The following is a 15,044-nucleotide window of genomic DNA, read 5'->3' as shown; positions in this document are numbered from 1 at the left end:
GGCCAAGGAACAAGTAAAGGCAACCCCCTGGGGACTGGTTCAGCACATAAAAGATGACTTTTCTAGGACACCAGATTTGATCCCGACATTCCCTCAGCTCAGCTCACACGAGAGGCTCACATCCCTGAATCCCATCCAGGGGCCGGCTCCTGAGCAGGGGCCAAGGGCGCAACTTTTGCTGGGGCTACTGCTTCTAGAATCTCCTCTAACTCCACCCTTCCAAACACCCGTCTATGCTGGGTGGAGTGAGGCCACAGCATGACACTCATTTAACTGATTCAAACCCACCACGTGAGCTTGGCCAAAAGGGACATGGTGGGAGAGAAAGAAACAAAGAAAACCATGTAAGCCTGCAGGCAATTCCCGCCAATTCTACTCTAGGAGCAAAAGCCCCGAGTGAAGTTCTGTTATTTAAGGTGCTTTTTTTTTTTCATACTGGGTTGGTGCAAAAGTAATTGCCATTTTTAATGGCAAAAACCGTGATTACTTTTGTACCAACCTAAATGTAACATGAGCTCTAAATGGAAGCAACTACTTCAGTGAGGCTCAGCCCAGCCACAGTAACCGCAGGGCTCCTCCTCGTGGCCTCCAGTGTGTGCTGGACTGACCGAGGGGCAGGGCCTCACTGTGGGCAGCTCACTCTGCACTGCTTCCCCCTCAGCGGTGGATCTGTGAAGCTATCCCCAGAAAAAATTCGGGTTCTGCTCCTACCACTTGAAGTTCACGGCACACGCAGGCAAACAGCACCTGAACATGTCCACCACCTTCATGGGCAGGTCCAGGCCACTGGAGGACGTGTCCAGACAGACATCCAGGTCCACCGACCCTGCTAGGCAAGAGGGGTGTGGCCAGAGCGCTGGTCTCTGCCCCGGGAACACAAATCCTCCCAGCACAGTGAGGCAACACCCCCCGAGGGGAGTGAAAATTGGATAAGGCCCCCGACATCCCCAACCACAAGTGGCTTAAGCTGGCCAAGCAGCCACACGGCCTGGCTGGGACATCTGAAAATGTAAGTTGACACTTTTTCTACGTAACCACAATTTGATTTTTTTGTTGTTTTGTTTTGAGACAGAGTCTCACTCTGTCACCCAGGCTGGAGTGCAGTGGCACAATCTCAGCTCATTGCAACCTCCACCTCCCAGGTTCACCTCCCACCTGTAATCCCAGCATTTTGGGAGGCCAAGGCGGGCGGATCACCTGAGGTCAGGAGTTCAAGACCAGCCTGGTCAACATGGTGAAACCCCATCTCTACTAAAAAAAAAAATGTAAAATTAGCGAAGCGTCATGGCAGGTGCCTGTAATCCCCGCTACTCAGGAGGCTGAGGCAGGAGAATCACTTGAACCTGGGAAAGAAGAGGTTGCAGTGAGCCAAGATCGCACCATTGCACTCCAGCCTGTGCTACAGGAGCGAAACTCCGTCTCAAAATAATAATAATAATAATAATAATAATAATAATAATAATAAACCACAGCACACCCACCACAAACCAGCTGTCAGTGTGAAAATAAAGCCAAATAGCTAAACATTTCTAAAGATTAGCTGGGGCCAGGCATGATGGGTCACACCTGGAATCCCAGCACTTAGGGAGGCCAAGGCGAGAGGATCACTTGAGGTCAGGAGTTCAAGACCAGCCTGGCCAACATGGTGAAACCCTGTCTCTACTAAAAATACAAAAATAAGCAAGGTGTTGTGGAGAGCTCCTGTAATCCTGTAATCTACTCGGGAGGCTGAGGTGGGAGAATTGCTTGAACCCAGGAGGCAGAGGTTGCATGAACTGAGATCATGCACTCCAACCTAGGCAACGGAGCAAGACTGTCTAAAACAAAGACTAGCTGGAGAATCCTGCCAGGAAAAGGCCCTCAGCCTCCAACAGCTCTGCTCACTCGAAGCTGGAAGATGTGGCTCTAGAGACGCATCAGGAACAAGCCACGACTCCCCACTTGGAGAAATCAATGGGGAAAGAGACGGAGGCAAAGGAGAACCATCTCACTGGTGAGGCGACGCTGTCTGACTCATCGTCCCTGTACCTCCCAAAGCCACTGCCCTCCCACACCTGGGCAACAGTGGCCCCAACCCCAGGCCCAGCCCTCTTGCAGGAAGGAAGAGGACTGAATGGAGGGCGTGGCAGGCTGAAAGGACGTGGCTTCCTCAAACCCCTTGGTAAAGGGCCTCTGGGGCCACCTGGCAGGGAGGGGCTGGCACACCAGGAAGTAGCCTTCTCCCGGGAGTTCAGCTAGAGCCCAGGTCCTGTCCCCAAGTGGCCTCCAGAGCCACCTTTTCAGAAAAGGTACACCCCGCCCACCCCTGTTCCCCCTGCATAAGGCCCCGCCTCCTCCCTGAGCCTCCTGCTGGCCTCTCACCTAGAAGCGGGGGTAGTCCTCGGCCCTCCAGCCAGGGGATGCAGACCTGGATGTGCTGGAAATGCTTCTGGTGGATGAGGCGGCTGTAATACTCCCTCAGAGGCCCTTTGCCTTCACAGAGAAGAGCAGACACTGCCATGAACCCGTCTCTGTCCCTGCCACATAGCCCCAGGCCCAAGACACTCCCCCCTAGGAGGGATCCTTTTCCCAGAAGCTCCACCCCTCGGCAGCTGCAGTCAGGCCCTATCTGGGCCTTTCCAGAAGCAACTCAGGAGCCCCAAGACCTGCAGGGGTATGTGCACCCTGACCCCTGATGCATAGCCCTGCACCTGCAACCAGCTGGCCTCGGGCTGCAAACAAGGCGGGGTAAGCACTGGCCTGGCACGCGACCACCCACTGGGTGGGCCCAGCCTTCTGTCTGTGTTGTGCACAGGGGACAAGAGGACTCCCTCTGCCCTGGCACAGCCCCCAAACCACAGGGCGCAGGTTCCAAGCCGCCCCTGCCCTGCCACAGCCCCCAGAGCACATGGCGCGGGTTCCAAGCCGCACCTGCCCTGCCACAGCCTCCAGAGCACATGGCGCGGGTTCCAAACCAGTCCTGGGAGCCTAGAGGCCAGAGGAGGGAGGAGAGCAGGACCAGCAGCTGGCCCAGACCCCGCCTCTTCCCACACCGCTTCCGCTTTTCTCCCTCCTCACTGAATCATCTTGAAAGGGCTCAGCAGCAGTAACTGGGACAGGGGCTCTTCTGTTTGAAAAATTAAAAGAAGCTTGGTTAAGGCACCAATGACATGGCCGGGCACAGTGGTTCATATCTATAATTTCAGCATATTGGGAGGCCAAGGCGGGTGGATCACCTGAGGTCAGGAGTTCAAGACCAGCCTGGCCAACATGGTGAAGCCCTGTTTCTACTAAAAATACAAAAATAAGCTGGGTGTGGTGGGCACTTTTAGTCCCAGCTACTCTGGAGGCTGAGGCATGAGAATTGCTTGAATGTGAGAGGCAGAGGTTGCAGTGAGCTGAGATCGCACCACTGCATCCCAGCCTGGGCGACAGAGTCTTTGTCTCAAAAAAAAAAAAAAGACACCAATGACATAACAACAAAAAAAAGATGCTTGGAAACTACTGAAAAAGTAGAAAGCTTGGTATCTACAGATTCAAATCTGGGCTCCCTGCCCTGCTGTGAAACCCTCTGAGCCTCAGTTTCCCGCATGTCAAGCAGTGTAAGACCCTATGGCAGAGAGCTGCAGTGAGGATTAAGGAGACAAGATCGTGGGAAGCACAGGGTAAAGGCTGTGTGCCCCTCCCCCTCCACCATCCCCCAACCAAACAGACACCCAGGGTCCCAGGCAGTACCTGTTATCACACAGACGAGAGAAGGAAGGTTCTGTCCGTCAAGAGTCAGTTGTTCAAACTCTGTGTTTAAAAAAAGAAACAATTCTACATGGAATTTCTGATTTAATTTTTTTTTTTTTTTTTTTTTTTTTCTGACAGACTCTCGCTCTGTCACCCAGGCTGGAATGCAATGGCATGATCTCAGCTCACTGCAACCTCTGCCTCCCAGGTTCAAGTAATTCTCGTGCATCAGCCTCCCAAGTAGCTGGGATTACAGGCGCCCACCACCATACCTAGCTAATTTTTGTATTTTTAGTAGAGACAGGTTTCGCCATGTTGGCCAGGTTGGTCTCAAACTCCTGACCTCAGGTGATCTGCCTGCCTCGGCCTCCCAGAGTTCTAGGATTACAGGTGTGAGCCACCATGCCCATTCAGAAAAAAATTTTTAAATAAACAGTAGCCAGAGTCCCCTGGTCAGGTGGAGAAAGTGCACTGCTCTGGCAGGGAGGCCACCAGCCTCTGTGAGATACTCTCCTGGAGGGGGCATTTCAGCCTGAGGGCCTGGTCACTCAATGACCCAACTGGGGATTCAGGGCGGCCCACCTCCACCACCCCTACTGTCCCCAGGCTGCCCCACCCAGTAGCCCAGGACAGGAACATGCTGCAGACCAGGCAAGCAGCTCACAGCTCAGTGGCCCCGACGAGCCCAGAGCTCCTCACCGCAGCCACACACCTACTTTCTAAAGCTGCCAGCAAGATAGAGAAGTCTTCGTCCTCTATGAGAAGAATTGAATGTCAGGGGCCTGTTTCTAGACACCACTCTTCCAGCTCACACGCCCTCCCCTTCTCACTGAGACCGTGGTGGGGTTGGGGCATGCAGGACTGGCAGGGGTGAGGAGAATACAGGTTGGCCAGGTGCCCTTCACACCAACCCCAAGTGCCCCAGTGGTCATGCAGACCTGTCCAGCTTGTGCTGCTGACCAGCAGGGCTGGCCGCTCGTGGAGACGCGTCACCAGCCCGCTCCCAGAATCCCGCTCCGTGAAGGCCGACCGCTCTGTGTCTGGGTCCTCAGGTTCTGAGCTGAAGGAGCAGAAAAAAACCCTGTGAGAGGCCACAGAGCAGGCCCAGGACCCAGAACGGGCATCTCCTGCCATGGTGAGGCCTGCAGGCTCCCAACGGTTGGGGTGCCCGGCTGCATCAGCAGCACCAGGCCACCCCTGCCAATCGAGGCCTGGGCTTGCTTTCTCTAATATTGTTGCTGGGTGCTAAGGTTACAACAGCAAACAAGACTGACTAATTCCTTTTCTCCACAGGACTTACTGTCTTGTCATCCCCTGGACCCAAGATGAGGGTGCTAGGACGCCCTCCCACACCACCCCAGCTTACCCAGGGGCACACCTCAGGGTATGTGGACCTGCACAAAGTTCCCTTCCTTAGCCCCATGAGACACCCCAGGGGACACACAGGTCCACAGATCCTGCCACAGGCCTGGGAACCCATTGGCAGGAGAGTAAGACCCTTTAACATTCCTTAAAGGGTCAGAGAGTAAATACTTCAGGCTTTGTGGGCCACAGGTTCTCTGTTGCAAAACGCGATTCTGCTATTGTAGCTCAAAGGCGGCTGTAGACAACTCAGAAGTTAATGAGTGTGTTGTGTCCCAGTGAAACTTGATTTACAAAAGCAGGAGACTGGCCTGTAGCCTTAGTTTGCCAATCCCTGGATGAGTGGGTTCCCAGGTCTGCAGTGAGAAGGGGAGAGGCCAGGGCAGTGGCGAGCAGGAGAGAAGGCAGCTGAGGGTGGGAGGCCTACCGGGCCCTGAACGGAGAGTGCGTGCTGCCCAGCTTCATGAAGAGCCGGTGCTGCAGGTCCAGAGGTGCCTCTTTAAAGAAAGATGCCGGCTTGTCGTAGACGGTCACAGCCCTGCAATGAAATCATGGCAGGGCTATTGCATTAGTCCAGCATGGAGGCTACTTTCTGCTCAAACCACTCATTTGGGTTCCATGCCCAACGTCACCCATCCTCAGCAAAACAACCTTTATTTCCTTCTTCCTGGTTTCCAGAAATTTCCCCTAAAGACCTGAGGAATCACCGAATGAAAGGGGCTTTTTACAAACTGGAAACTTAAGTGGAGTGCCAATACACAACATGGATTGCACCAGGCTAGGTCTAAGATAAAACCAGACTGTGGACAACAGGACAGATAAGACACACATGGCTCTGCACTGCCTGGGTCTGTTATTGTGTGGAGGAATGTCTTAGTCTGTTGCTCCTGTGGGTGTCGCTAAAGCACGAACCAGGGGTCTTCATCCTTAGAAAGCAGTTAGACACCTGAGAACCAATCCCAAACTGCAGCCTTCCACAGAACCTTCTGGAACCTTCTGGAATGCAACTCATTACTGCCAGAGGCTCTTTGATGAGAGTCTACTCTCCACCATTTGTCTTCAAAGAGAATACCCACATATTATCTTTCTGTGGAAAGGTAAGTTATTAGCGTTTATGCAGTCTGGTATATTAATCGAGAGCTTTACTTCAAAGAATGTCACGTTTACGATTCAGTCTCACAGACTGGGTTAAAAAGGCAGTGTTGACTATTAAGTTGTAAATTACTATGATGATCATTATTATTTAAGCAAGCTGTGAGAAATGAGCATTATCTCACAATATCTGCATTTTAGTGAACCTGAAGGAAGAGTGTATTTGCTGGAATTACAGAAGCCTGAGAACCACAGGGGAATTCTCACTGCAGGGTATTCAGGGTCCAAAGCTGATTCTATTTTGCATGCTAAATCCTTCCTCAATTTATTTTTATTTCTTTCTTTATTTATTGAGACAGGGTCTCCCTCTGTCGCCCAGGCTGGAGCGCCTTGGTGCAATCTCAGCTCACTGCGACCTTGCCTCCCGGGTTCAAGTGATTCTCCTGCCTCAGCCTCCGGAGTAGCTGGGATTTCAGGCACCCACCACAAAGCCCAGCTAATTTTTGTATTTTTAGTAGGGACGGGATTTCACCATGTTGGCCAGGCTGGTCTCGAACTGCTGACCTCAGGTAATCCTCCTGCCTCGGCCGCCCAAAATGCTGAGATTACAGGCATGAGCCACCGTGCCAGGCCCTCAGTTTTATTTTTCTATTTATTTATTTAGAGATGGATTTTTCACTTTTGTCCCCCAGGCTGGAGTGCAGTGGCGTGATCTCAGCTCACTGCTACTTCTGCCTCCAGGAATCAAGCGATTCTCCTACCTCAGCCTCCCGCGTAGCTGGGATTATAGTCACGCACCCGTAAGCCTGGCTAATTTTTGTATTTTTAAGTAGAGACAGGGTTTCACCATGTTGGCTGGGCTGGTATCGAACTCCTGACCTCAGGTGATCCACCTGCCTCGGCCTCCCAAAATGCTGAGATTACAGGTGTGAGTCACTGCACCTGGCCCTTCAATTTAATTTTAATAAAATTATCAAGGAAATAAGCCACAAAAGGACAACGTGCAGACTTTAGAACAGAGCTGTCCAATAGAAATATAATGTAATCCACATGTGTAATATTAAATAATTTAGTCACCACATTAGAAAAAGTAAAAGGGGTGAAATGAATTCTCCTAGTAAACTTTAACCAATATATTCAAAATATTATTATTTCAACATTAATGAATACTTAAAAATTCTTAATGGATATTTTATGTTCTTTTTTTTTTCTTTTTTTGATTATGAAGGCTTGGAAATCTAGTGTATATTTTACACTAAGAGCATATCTCAATTAAGATGGCCACATCTCAAGTGCCCAGTAGCCACATGTGGCCTGAGGCCATGACTCTGGGCAGTACAGCTTTAGGTGAGTCTAGGGCAGGGCAGAGGGGGGCACCTGGGATGAGGTGCGGAGCCTGGGGCCTTGTTTAGCACCCTTTGGTGAGGGCATTTTCTTTCCATAAAACCCAGGTCAAGCGTGCCTCACAAAGGGACCAGTGGAGGTGCCTCAGTTTACTTGGGAGCTTGGCCTCTCCAGCTTGCCCTCCTACTGCCTGGAAGAAGATTAGTGTCCTCTTGCCTTCTCTAGCCCCTTTCCCAAGAACCCTCCCAGAATTTCGTCCTATGAAGGGCCAGGGGTGCAAGGAGTCACCCACACAATGACAGGACCCACCAGCAATACCAGAAGTTGGCTAGCCCTACTCATCCAAATTCCCTTCTGCCAGCTGGACATCACAAGGATTTCAGACTGCCATCCTGTGACAACTCCATTTTGGGGTCTGGGGATGTAAGGGTTACTGTATTAGTCCATTCTCACTCTGCTAATAAAGACATACCTGAGACTGGGTAATTTATAAAGAAAAAGAGGTTTAATGGACTCACAGAGCCACATGACTGGGGAGGCCTCATGATTATGGCAGAAGGTGGAGGAGGAGCAAAGTCACATCTTACATGGCAGCAGGCAAGAGAGTTGTGCAGGGGAGCTCCCCTTTATAAAACCATTAGATCAGGCAGGGAACAGTGACTCACATCTCTAATCACAGCACTTTGGGAAGCCAAGGTGCGTGGATCACCTGAGATCGGGAGTTTGAGACCAGCCTGGCCAAAATGTTGAAACCCCATCTCTAATAAAAATACAAAAATTAGCCAGGCGTAATGGCTCATGCCTGTTGTCCCAGATTCTTGGGAGGCTGAGGCACGAAAATTGCTTAAATCCAGGAGGCAGAGGTTGCAGTGAGCTGAGATCAAGCCACTGCACTCCAGCCTGGGCAACAGAGTGAGACTCGGTCTCAGAAAAAGAAAAAAAGAATTAGATCTTGTGAGACTTATTCAATGTCATGGGAACAGCAGGGGAAAGACCCACCCCGTGATTTAGTTACCTCCCACTAGGTCCCTCCCACAGCATGTGGTGATTATGGGAACTACAATTAGAGATTTGGGTGGGGACACAGCCACACCATATCACTTACTGAGCTGGGCATCTTCTTCCTTGAATGCATATTGGCCACTGAGGCACTTCCTGGTTAACCTCATTCCACAGCTAAGAAAACCCAGGCTTGGCACAGGCAAGGGATCTGACGCAACGTCTCCCATCTTATTAGTGGAAGGACCAAGACTGGACCCACAACTGTGCTCCTGTTTTGAGTCACCATGTGGCCCCCAAGATCAGATCTCAAAACAAGCAGACATGGGGGCTCAGAAAGTCCCCAGCCTAGAACTTTCCTGTCAACCCAATGACACTAAAGGCTAAGCTGGCTGCTTATTATTCTGGATTCACACTAGAATGACCTTGGGGTGTGTTTTACACATGCCGATGTCTGGAGTTTCACCCCCAGCTAACTGACTATGAATCTCTGGGTTGGGGCCTGGGCACTGATGTTCATGCAGAGCTTCTGAGATGATCCTATTGCATTGCCAAGGTCGACACCTGCAGAAACATTGCACTTTTTCATTCATTTAATTATTAAATATGTAATATTTATTATTATTTTTCCAGACATGGAAGTGTTGCAAAAATAGTACAAAGACATCCTTTATACCCTTCGCTGAGATTCCCCAGTGCTACCATTTTACCCCATTTGCTTTATTATTTTCCAAGTGGCAGAAGAGTTATCCTTTACCCCTAAATATTCCTGTGTATTCCTTAATAACAAGGACTTTCTCTTATATAACCAAGGCAATGATCAAAATCAGGAAACTAACCCTGCTACAATACGGTTTTCTAATGGACCTCATTCAGATTTCGCCAGTTAACCCAATGATGTACATTGGAGCAAACGATCATCCCAGATCATGCATTATTTTCAGTTGTTGTGTCTCTGTAGGTACCTTTTAGCCTGGAACAGATCCTCAGTTTTTCTTTATCTTTCATGGTATTGGCATTCTTGAAGAACGCAAGACGGTTATTTGATAGAATGTCCCTTACTTTGGATTTGGCTGATGTTTCTTGGCGGTGATATTCTTATGCATTTGGGGTGGGACTATCACAGCAATGGTGTCATGTTCTCTGTGCATTGCATCAGGAGGGACATGTTGATGGTTTACCCCATTACACCAAAGTGAATGTTGATCGTTCAGTGAAGGTGGGAGCAGGTTCATTTCATTATATTGCAGAAGCCATCATCAGCCATACTCGCTCTGGTTAACCGGTCATCTTATGTAGCCATTTATCTAACAAGGCTGTAAGGATCTTGAACTCAGGGTAAGCAAGCCTTAAAGCAGAAGAGAAGAAAGAAAGGAAGGTTCTGGAACCTGGAGCTTTGGCAAAGGGGGCAGGTGTGGGGAACGCACCACCAAAGTTGCTCCTGGCATTAGGATGAAGAGGAAGGAGAACATTCTATCTAGAAGGGGTTTGGGGTTAGCCAGAGGGGTGTGGGAGAGTCAGAGTCTGCCCACTTGTGGTTTTGCTGAGGGCTACACTGTGGTAGACAGGTCTTTCATTGCTGCTTTTGAAAATTTTGTTTCACAATCCTTCATCTAAAACAGAGCAATTTCCTTTTTCTACGTTTTGGCCCACTTTGCTTCATCTGTCTTCTCTTCTCTTACTTTTAGAGACAGGGCCTTGCTCTGTGGACCAGGCAGGAGTGCAGTGATGTGATCATAGGTCACTGCAGCCTTGACCTCCTGGGCTCAAGCAATCCTCCTGCCTTAGCCTCCTGAGTAGCTGGGACTACAGGTGTGCACCACTGCACCTGGCTAATTTATTTTATTTAGTTTAGTTGTTGTAGAGACGAGGTCTCACTTTGTTGCCCAGGCTGATCTTGGACTCTTGGCTTCAAGGGATCCTCCCGCCTTGGCCTCCCAAAGTGTTGAGATGACAGGCATGAGCCACCATGCCCACCTCTGTCTTTTCTCTTGGGATTAATGACTTCCACATTCGCTCCAGGAATAATTTCTGTGAAGGTGATGCCTGGCTTGACACTTGTGGTAACTCCCGTTGTTTATCTATTGCTTATCTCCAGAACCCATTTGATGCTTCCTACTTCAAAGTGCGCTAGCGCCTGTCAGCTGGAAGGCATCCCCTGAGCTGCTGACAAACAAGGCCTTTTTACCCACAGATTAACCTCTTATTTGTTTTAATAAATGATCAAAAGTTGGTTTGCCTCCTGTGCGTATGTTGGTTGGGGCCAAGAGGGGATCGTGGTGATTTCTGTCCACCTGGGACCTCAGGCCTCCTGGTGGCCCGTGAACAAAAGTGAGGCAGGCAGAGCAATGAGCAGTGTTCCTCGTCTGCCTCACTGCCATCAGTATGTCTGCCTGTGGTTGTCTTTGGCACATTATCAGGATGTGTCACTCCCTCATCTTTGTTCCCTCTCCTTCTTGTATTTACCTTCACCTGGGCTGCTAAGTGCTGCGGGAGAAACATTGCGTTTTTGCGGAGATTGTGGCCACAGCAAATTTAGGTTCCCCACCCTCAGGTTGCCCCTCACTGGTCTCTGCCTCATACCTTTGAAGAAAACAACTCGTGGAGGTCGTCTTATTCATAAAGGTGAACATTTCACAGAGCAGGGCACTGTTGTGGGTTGAATTGCATCCCCTCTCCCACAAAAGACTTCTTGGAGTCCTGACCCCCAGTACCTCAAAATGTGACATATTTGGAGATAGTCATTACAAAGGTAGTCAAGTTAAAATCAGGTTGATAGAGTGGGCTTTATCCAGTATAATGCGTGTCCTTATGGAAAGGGGAAATTGGCCAGGTGCAGTGGCTCATGCCTGTAACCCTAGCACTTTGGGAGGCTGAGGCAAGAGGATCACTTGAGGCCAAGTTTCAAGACCAACCTGGCAGACATAGGGAGACTCCTATCTCTATTAAAAAGATTATAAATAAAATACGCCAGGCACAGTGACTCATGCCTGTAATCCTAGCACTTTGGGAGGCTGAGGCAGGAGGATCACTTGAGGCCAAGGTTCAAGACCAACCTGGCCAACATAGCAAGACCCCCATCTCTATTAAAAAATAATAAAAGAGGCCAGGTGCGGTGGCTCACGTCTGTAATCTTGGCAGTTTGGGAGGCCGAGGCGAGTGGATCACTTGAGGTCAGGAGATCAAGACCAGCCTGGCCAACATGGTGAAACCTGTCTCTACTAAAAATACAAAAAAATTAGTTGGGCACAGTGGTGGGCACCTGTAATCCCAGCTACTCGGGAGGCTGAGGTAGGACAATTGCTTGAACCCGGGAGGCGGAAGTGACAGTGAGCCAAGATTGCACCACCGCACTCCAGCCAGGGTGACAGAGCAGGATTCTGTCTCAAAATAAATAAATAAATAAATAAATAAAATTATATATATCTCTATATATATACACACACACACTACATATATGTGTATTTTTGTGTGTAGATATAGACATAGATATATGGAAAGGGGAAATTTTGGACACAGATGCACACAGGGAGAAGACCACGTGAAGACTGGACTTCTGCTCCACAAGATAAGGAGTTGGCAGAAGCTGGGAGGGAGATCCTTCCCCTAGCATCCTCAGAGGGAGCCTGGCCCTGACAATCCCTTCATCTCAGCCCTCTGGCCTGCAGGTGTAAGACGATGCATTTCTGTAGTTCTAAGCCATCCAGCTTGTGGTATCTTTTTATAGCAGACTGAGGCATTTAATACAGCAGCATTCTGAGCCCTTCCCGTATAAACTCTTCATTTAATCTTCACCACTACCGCCCCGCCCATAAGTGCTGCTGTTATTGTCTTCATTTTAGCTTCTTTTTATCCATGATGTCTGCAGCACAGAGAGGTTCAGTAATTTGCTCATGGTCACTTGAGATAATAAAACCCCACTCTAGGGAACCTCTCATGCCTGCTTCTGGCTGTCACCTTCCCTCTCCCCTTTCCTCCTGTCTCCTTCCTCTCCATCTCCTTTATGAGGCCTTCTTTGCTGTCCCATCTCTTCTTTGCATTTTTACTTTTTATTAATTTTTTTTGAGGGGGGGAAATGGGGTCTCGCTATGTTGTGCAGACTGATCTTGAACTCCTGGCCTCGAGCTATCCTACTGTCTCAGCCTGAGTAGCTGGGATTACAGGTGTGAGCCACCATACCCAGCTGTTGTCCCATCTCCTCAATGTCTGCTTCCCCAGCATCCCTGCCCACAGTTCCTACCTCAGTAGCCCCTCCTGAGCCTCAGTCACCATCTGTGCTGATGAATTGCTGCTCGCCCTCCTCCCAGGCAGGATGCCCCATGGCCACTGCAGGCTCAGCCCATCCACAACAGATTCACAAAGCCGGTCCTTCAATGCTGGATTTCCTAGATTTCCCAGCCAACAGTACCACCAGCTTAAAACCCTGCAGCCATGCCTAAATCCTCTATCTTCCTGTACCCCACATCCCCACGACCAACCCTTGCTGATTTTATGGCTAAATCCCCTCTTTACAGTCAGGAGCAGCTGCAGAATTTGCAAGGCCCAGTGCAAGATGAAAACATGGGCCCCCTTATTCAAAAATCAGAGGAAAAAGCACTGCTGAAGTATTAACATATAAAGCATTTTCTTTCTTCTGTGGTGTCTGTGTCTCAATTTATCATGATGCTTTCATTTGTTATTTAATGTCCTTCCAAGTAAAAAAAAAGTTAACATTTTAAATTACTAGCATGGATTATACTGTTCCTCTTTACATTGTGCAATGCCAGATTTAAATAGGAACACTGGACTCAAATGTGGAATCACAGAAATGACGTAATTTGTACTTTGTATGTGGCATTTTTTTGCCTCACAGAAACAGTGAGACGTTGCAGGAAACTAATTCATCTGTTTTTGTTTGTTTGTTTGTTTTTGTTTTTTTCCCGAGACAGAGTCTTGCTCTCTTGCCCAGGCTGGAGTGCAGGGTGAGATCTCAGCTCACTGCAACCTCTGCCTCCCGGGTTCAGACCATTCTCCTGCCTTAGCCTCCTGAGTAGCTGGGATTACAGGAGCCTGCCACCACACCGGCCTAATTTTTGTATTTTTAATAGAGACGGGGTTTCGCCATGTTGGCCAGGCTGGTCTCGAACTCCTGACCTTGTGATCCACCCACCTCGGCCCCCCAAAATGCTGGGATTACAGACATGAAGCACCACACCTGGCCATTCAGCTGTTTTTATTTCACTTTTTCACACCTATACAATCTACCACCACTCTCTACCTTTGGCTTACTGATGCATAAGGAAGAATTGAAAGGAAAAACAACTATGACTCTGCTATCTTTGCCTCTCCTATGTCATCAGTTCCAGTGGAAGTGGTTGGTTACTACAGGGAATCAGATGAGTAGAAAAGGCTGGGAGAGGGTTCCTTGTTTGTTCCTGTTTCTTAGAATGCCATTGACTTGGTTTTCAATTCTGATTCTATAATAAGAGAAAGTGCAACCTCTTGGTGCTGTCAGCATCTCTTGCAGACTCCGTTGTGGACATAGTAGGCTTCCCTTATGCTCACTTGGAGCCTTGCTGGGCTCCCATGCACTGCGGACCCCCCAAGATTCTATGCTCAGGGCACAGCAGACACGCCATGGGGAGTGCGGTGGCAAGGGACGGGGGTAACTCATATTGTTGGTGTCTCGTCTGCCCACGCACGTGTTCTATTGCCCCATTGGATTTCACTGATAAAACATAGATTCAGACTGGCTGCAGGGGCTCATGCCTGTAATCTCAGCACTTTGGGAGGCTGAGGTGGGCAGATCACTTGAGATCAGGAGTTCAAGACCAGCCTGGCCAATATGGTGAAACCCACTCTCTACTAAAAATACAAAAATTAGCCAGGCGTGGTGGCAGGTGGCTGTAGTCCCAGCTACTTGGGAGGCTGAGGCAGGAGAATCACTTGAGTCTGGGAGGTGGAGGTCGCAGTAAGCCGAGATGGTGCCAGTGCACTCCAGCCTGGGCGACAGAGACTCTTTCTCAAAACAAAACAAAACATAGATTCACACATAAAATGAGGAGGAATTTTAAGACAGTGACAGCAGAGCATTAAGCCAAGCTCGGGGTCCCTCTCAGCTCGGGACCCTGTGTGACTACACAGGCCAAACACCCATGAATTCATCTCAATTTCCATCCCTCTCACACTCTTCCCCACTGCTGTGGTCTCAGTTGGCACCTTCCTCATTTCTACTCCGGAGGACTGCCTGTACCCTGATTTCTTCAAGGGTCTCTCCAGTCTATCAGACGCAGGCCAACCCAGGGTTTCTCTGCATTGCAATCCAACCAGCACCACCCCCCTGCTTACCAGCCTGCAGTAGCTCCCATGTCCCTTCAGGTTAAAATTCAGACTTCTTAGCAAGGAACTGCTTATTTCTCCAGCCTCTGTGACAGCCTCACACCCTACAATCGAGCTCTGCTGATCCTGGAGAAGCTCCCTCTGAGCCTTTGCACACCTGTCTCTGCTACTTGAGGGTGATTTCCACCTGGTTACCTCCTGGTGTCACCTCCCAC

The 15,044-nt window shown here is 49.5% G+C and overlaps 1 protein-coding gene and 1 long non-coding RNA gene across 2 annotated transcripts in view, besides 2 other annotated features; one reads left to right on the top strand and one right to left on the bottom strand.

Annotated features, from left to right (window-relative positions):
- Positions 1 to 104: part of an enhancer, noted in NCBI's record as "H3K4me1 hESC enhancer chr3:129815614-129816445 (GRCh37/hg19 assembly coordinates)", that runs on past the window's edge. NCBI's record gives its function as "activates a minimal SCP1, AML or CMV promoter by ChIP-STARR-seq in naive H9 embryonic stem cells {active_cell/tissue: H9 hESC(naive)}" and the evidence as "EXISTENCE:reporter gene assay evidence [ECO:0000049][PMID:30033119]".
- Positions 1 to 15,044, bottom strand: part of ALG1L2 (ALG1 chitobiosyldiphosphodolichol beta-mannosyltransferase like 2) — a 16,560-nt gene extending 1,516 nt beyond the window's left edge. Inside the window, exons 1-6 of the mRNA NM_001136152.1 lie at positions 14,839 to 15,044; positions 5,504 to 5,614; positions 4,653 to 4,774; positions 3,715 to 3,774; positions 2,362 to 2,472; positions 712 to 826 (exon numbers count right to left, since the gene is read on the bottom strand). Of these exons, the coding sequence (NP_001129624.1) occupies positions 712 to 826; positions 2,362 to 2,472; positions 3,715 to 3,774; positions 4,653 to 4,774; positions 5,504 to 5,614; positions 14,839 to 14,858 (539 nt within the window). The 5' untranslated portion in view covers positions 14,859 to 15,044. The remainder of the gene's footprint in view (positions 1 to 711; positions 827 to 2,361; positions 2,473 to 3,714; positions 3,775 to 4,652; positions 4,775 to 5,503; positions 5,615 to 14,838) is intronic.
- Positions 1,999 to 2,078: an enhancer, noted in NCBI's record as "active region_20519". NCBI's record gives its function as "activates an Ori minimal core promoter by ATAC-STARR-seq in GM12878 lymphoblastoid cells {active_cell/tissue: GM12878}" and the evidence as "EXISTENCE:reporter gene assay evidence [ECO:0000049][PMID:35858748]".
- Positions 2,571 to 8,012, top strand: LINC02014 (long intergenic non-protein coding RNA 2014). The gene is made up of 5 exons (NR_146710.1): positions 2,571 to 2,727; positions 5,008 to 5,098; positions 5,755 to 6,173; positions 7,397 to 7,515; positions 7,620 to 8,012. It is a non-coding gene; the product is annotated as a long intergenic non-protein coding RNA 2014 (long non-coding RNA).

Source organism: Homo sapiens, chromosome 3, assembly GCF_000001405.40.
Source record: "Homo sapiens chromosome 3, GRCh38.p14 Primary Assembly".
Classification (NCBI taxonomy): Eukaryota; Metazoa; Chordata; class Mammalia; order Primates; family Hominidae; genus Homo; species Homo sapiens.
Note: the sequence above shows the minus strand (reverse complement) of the source record. Positions and strands in the feature narration are given on the sequence as shown.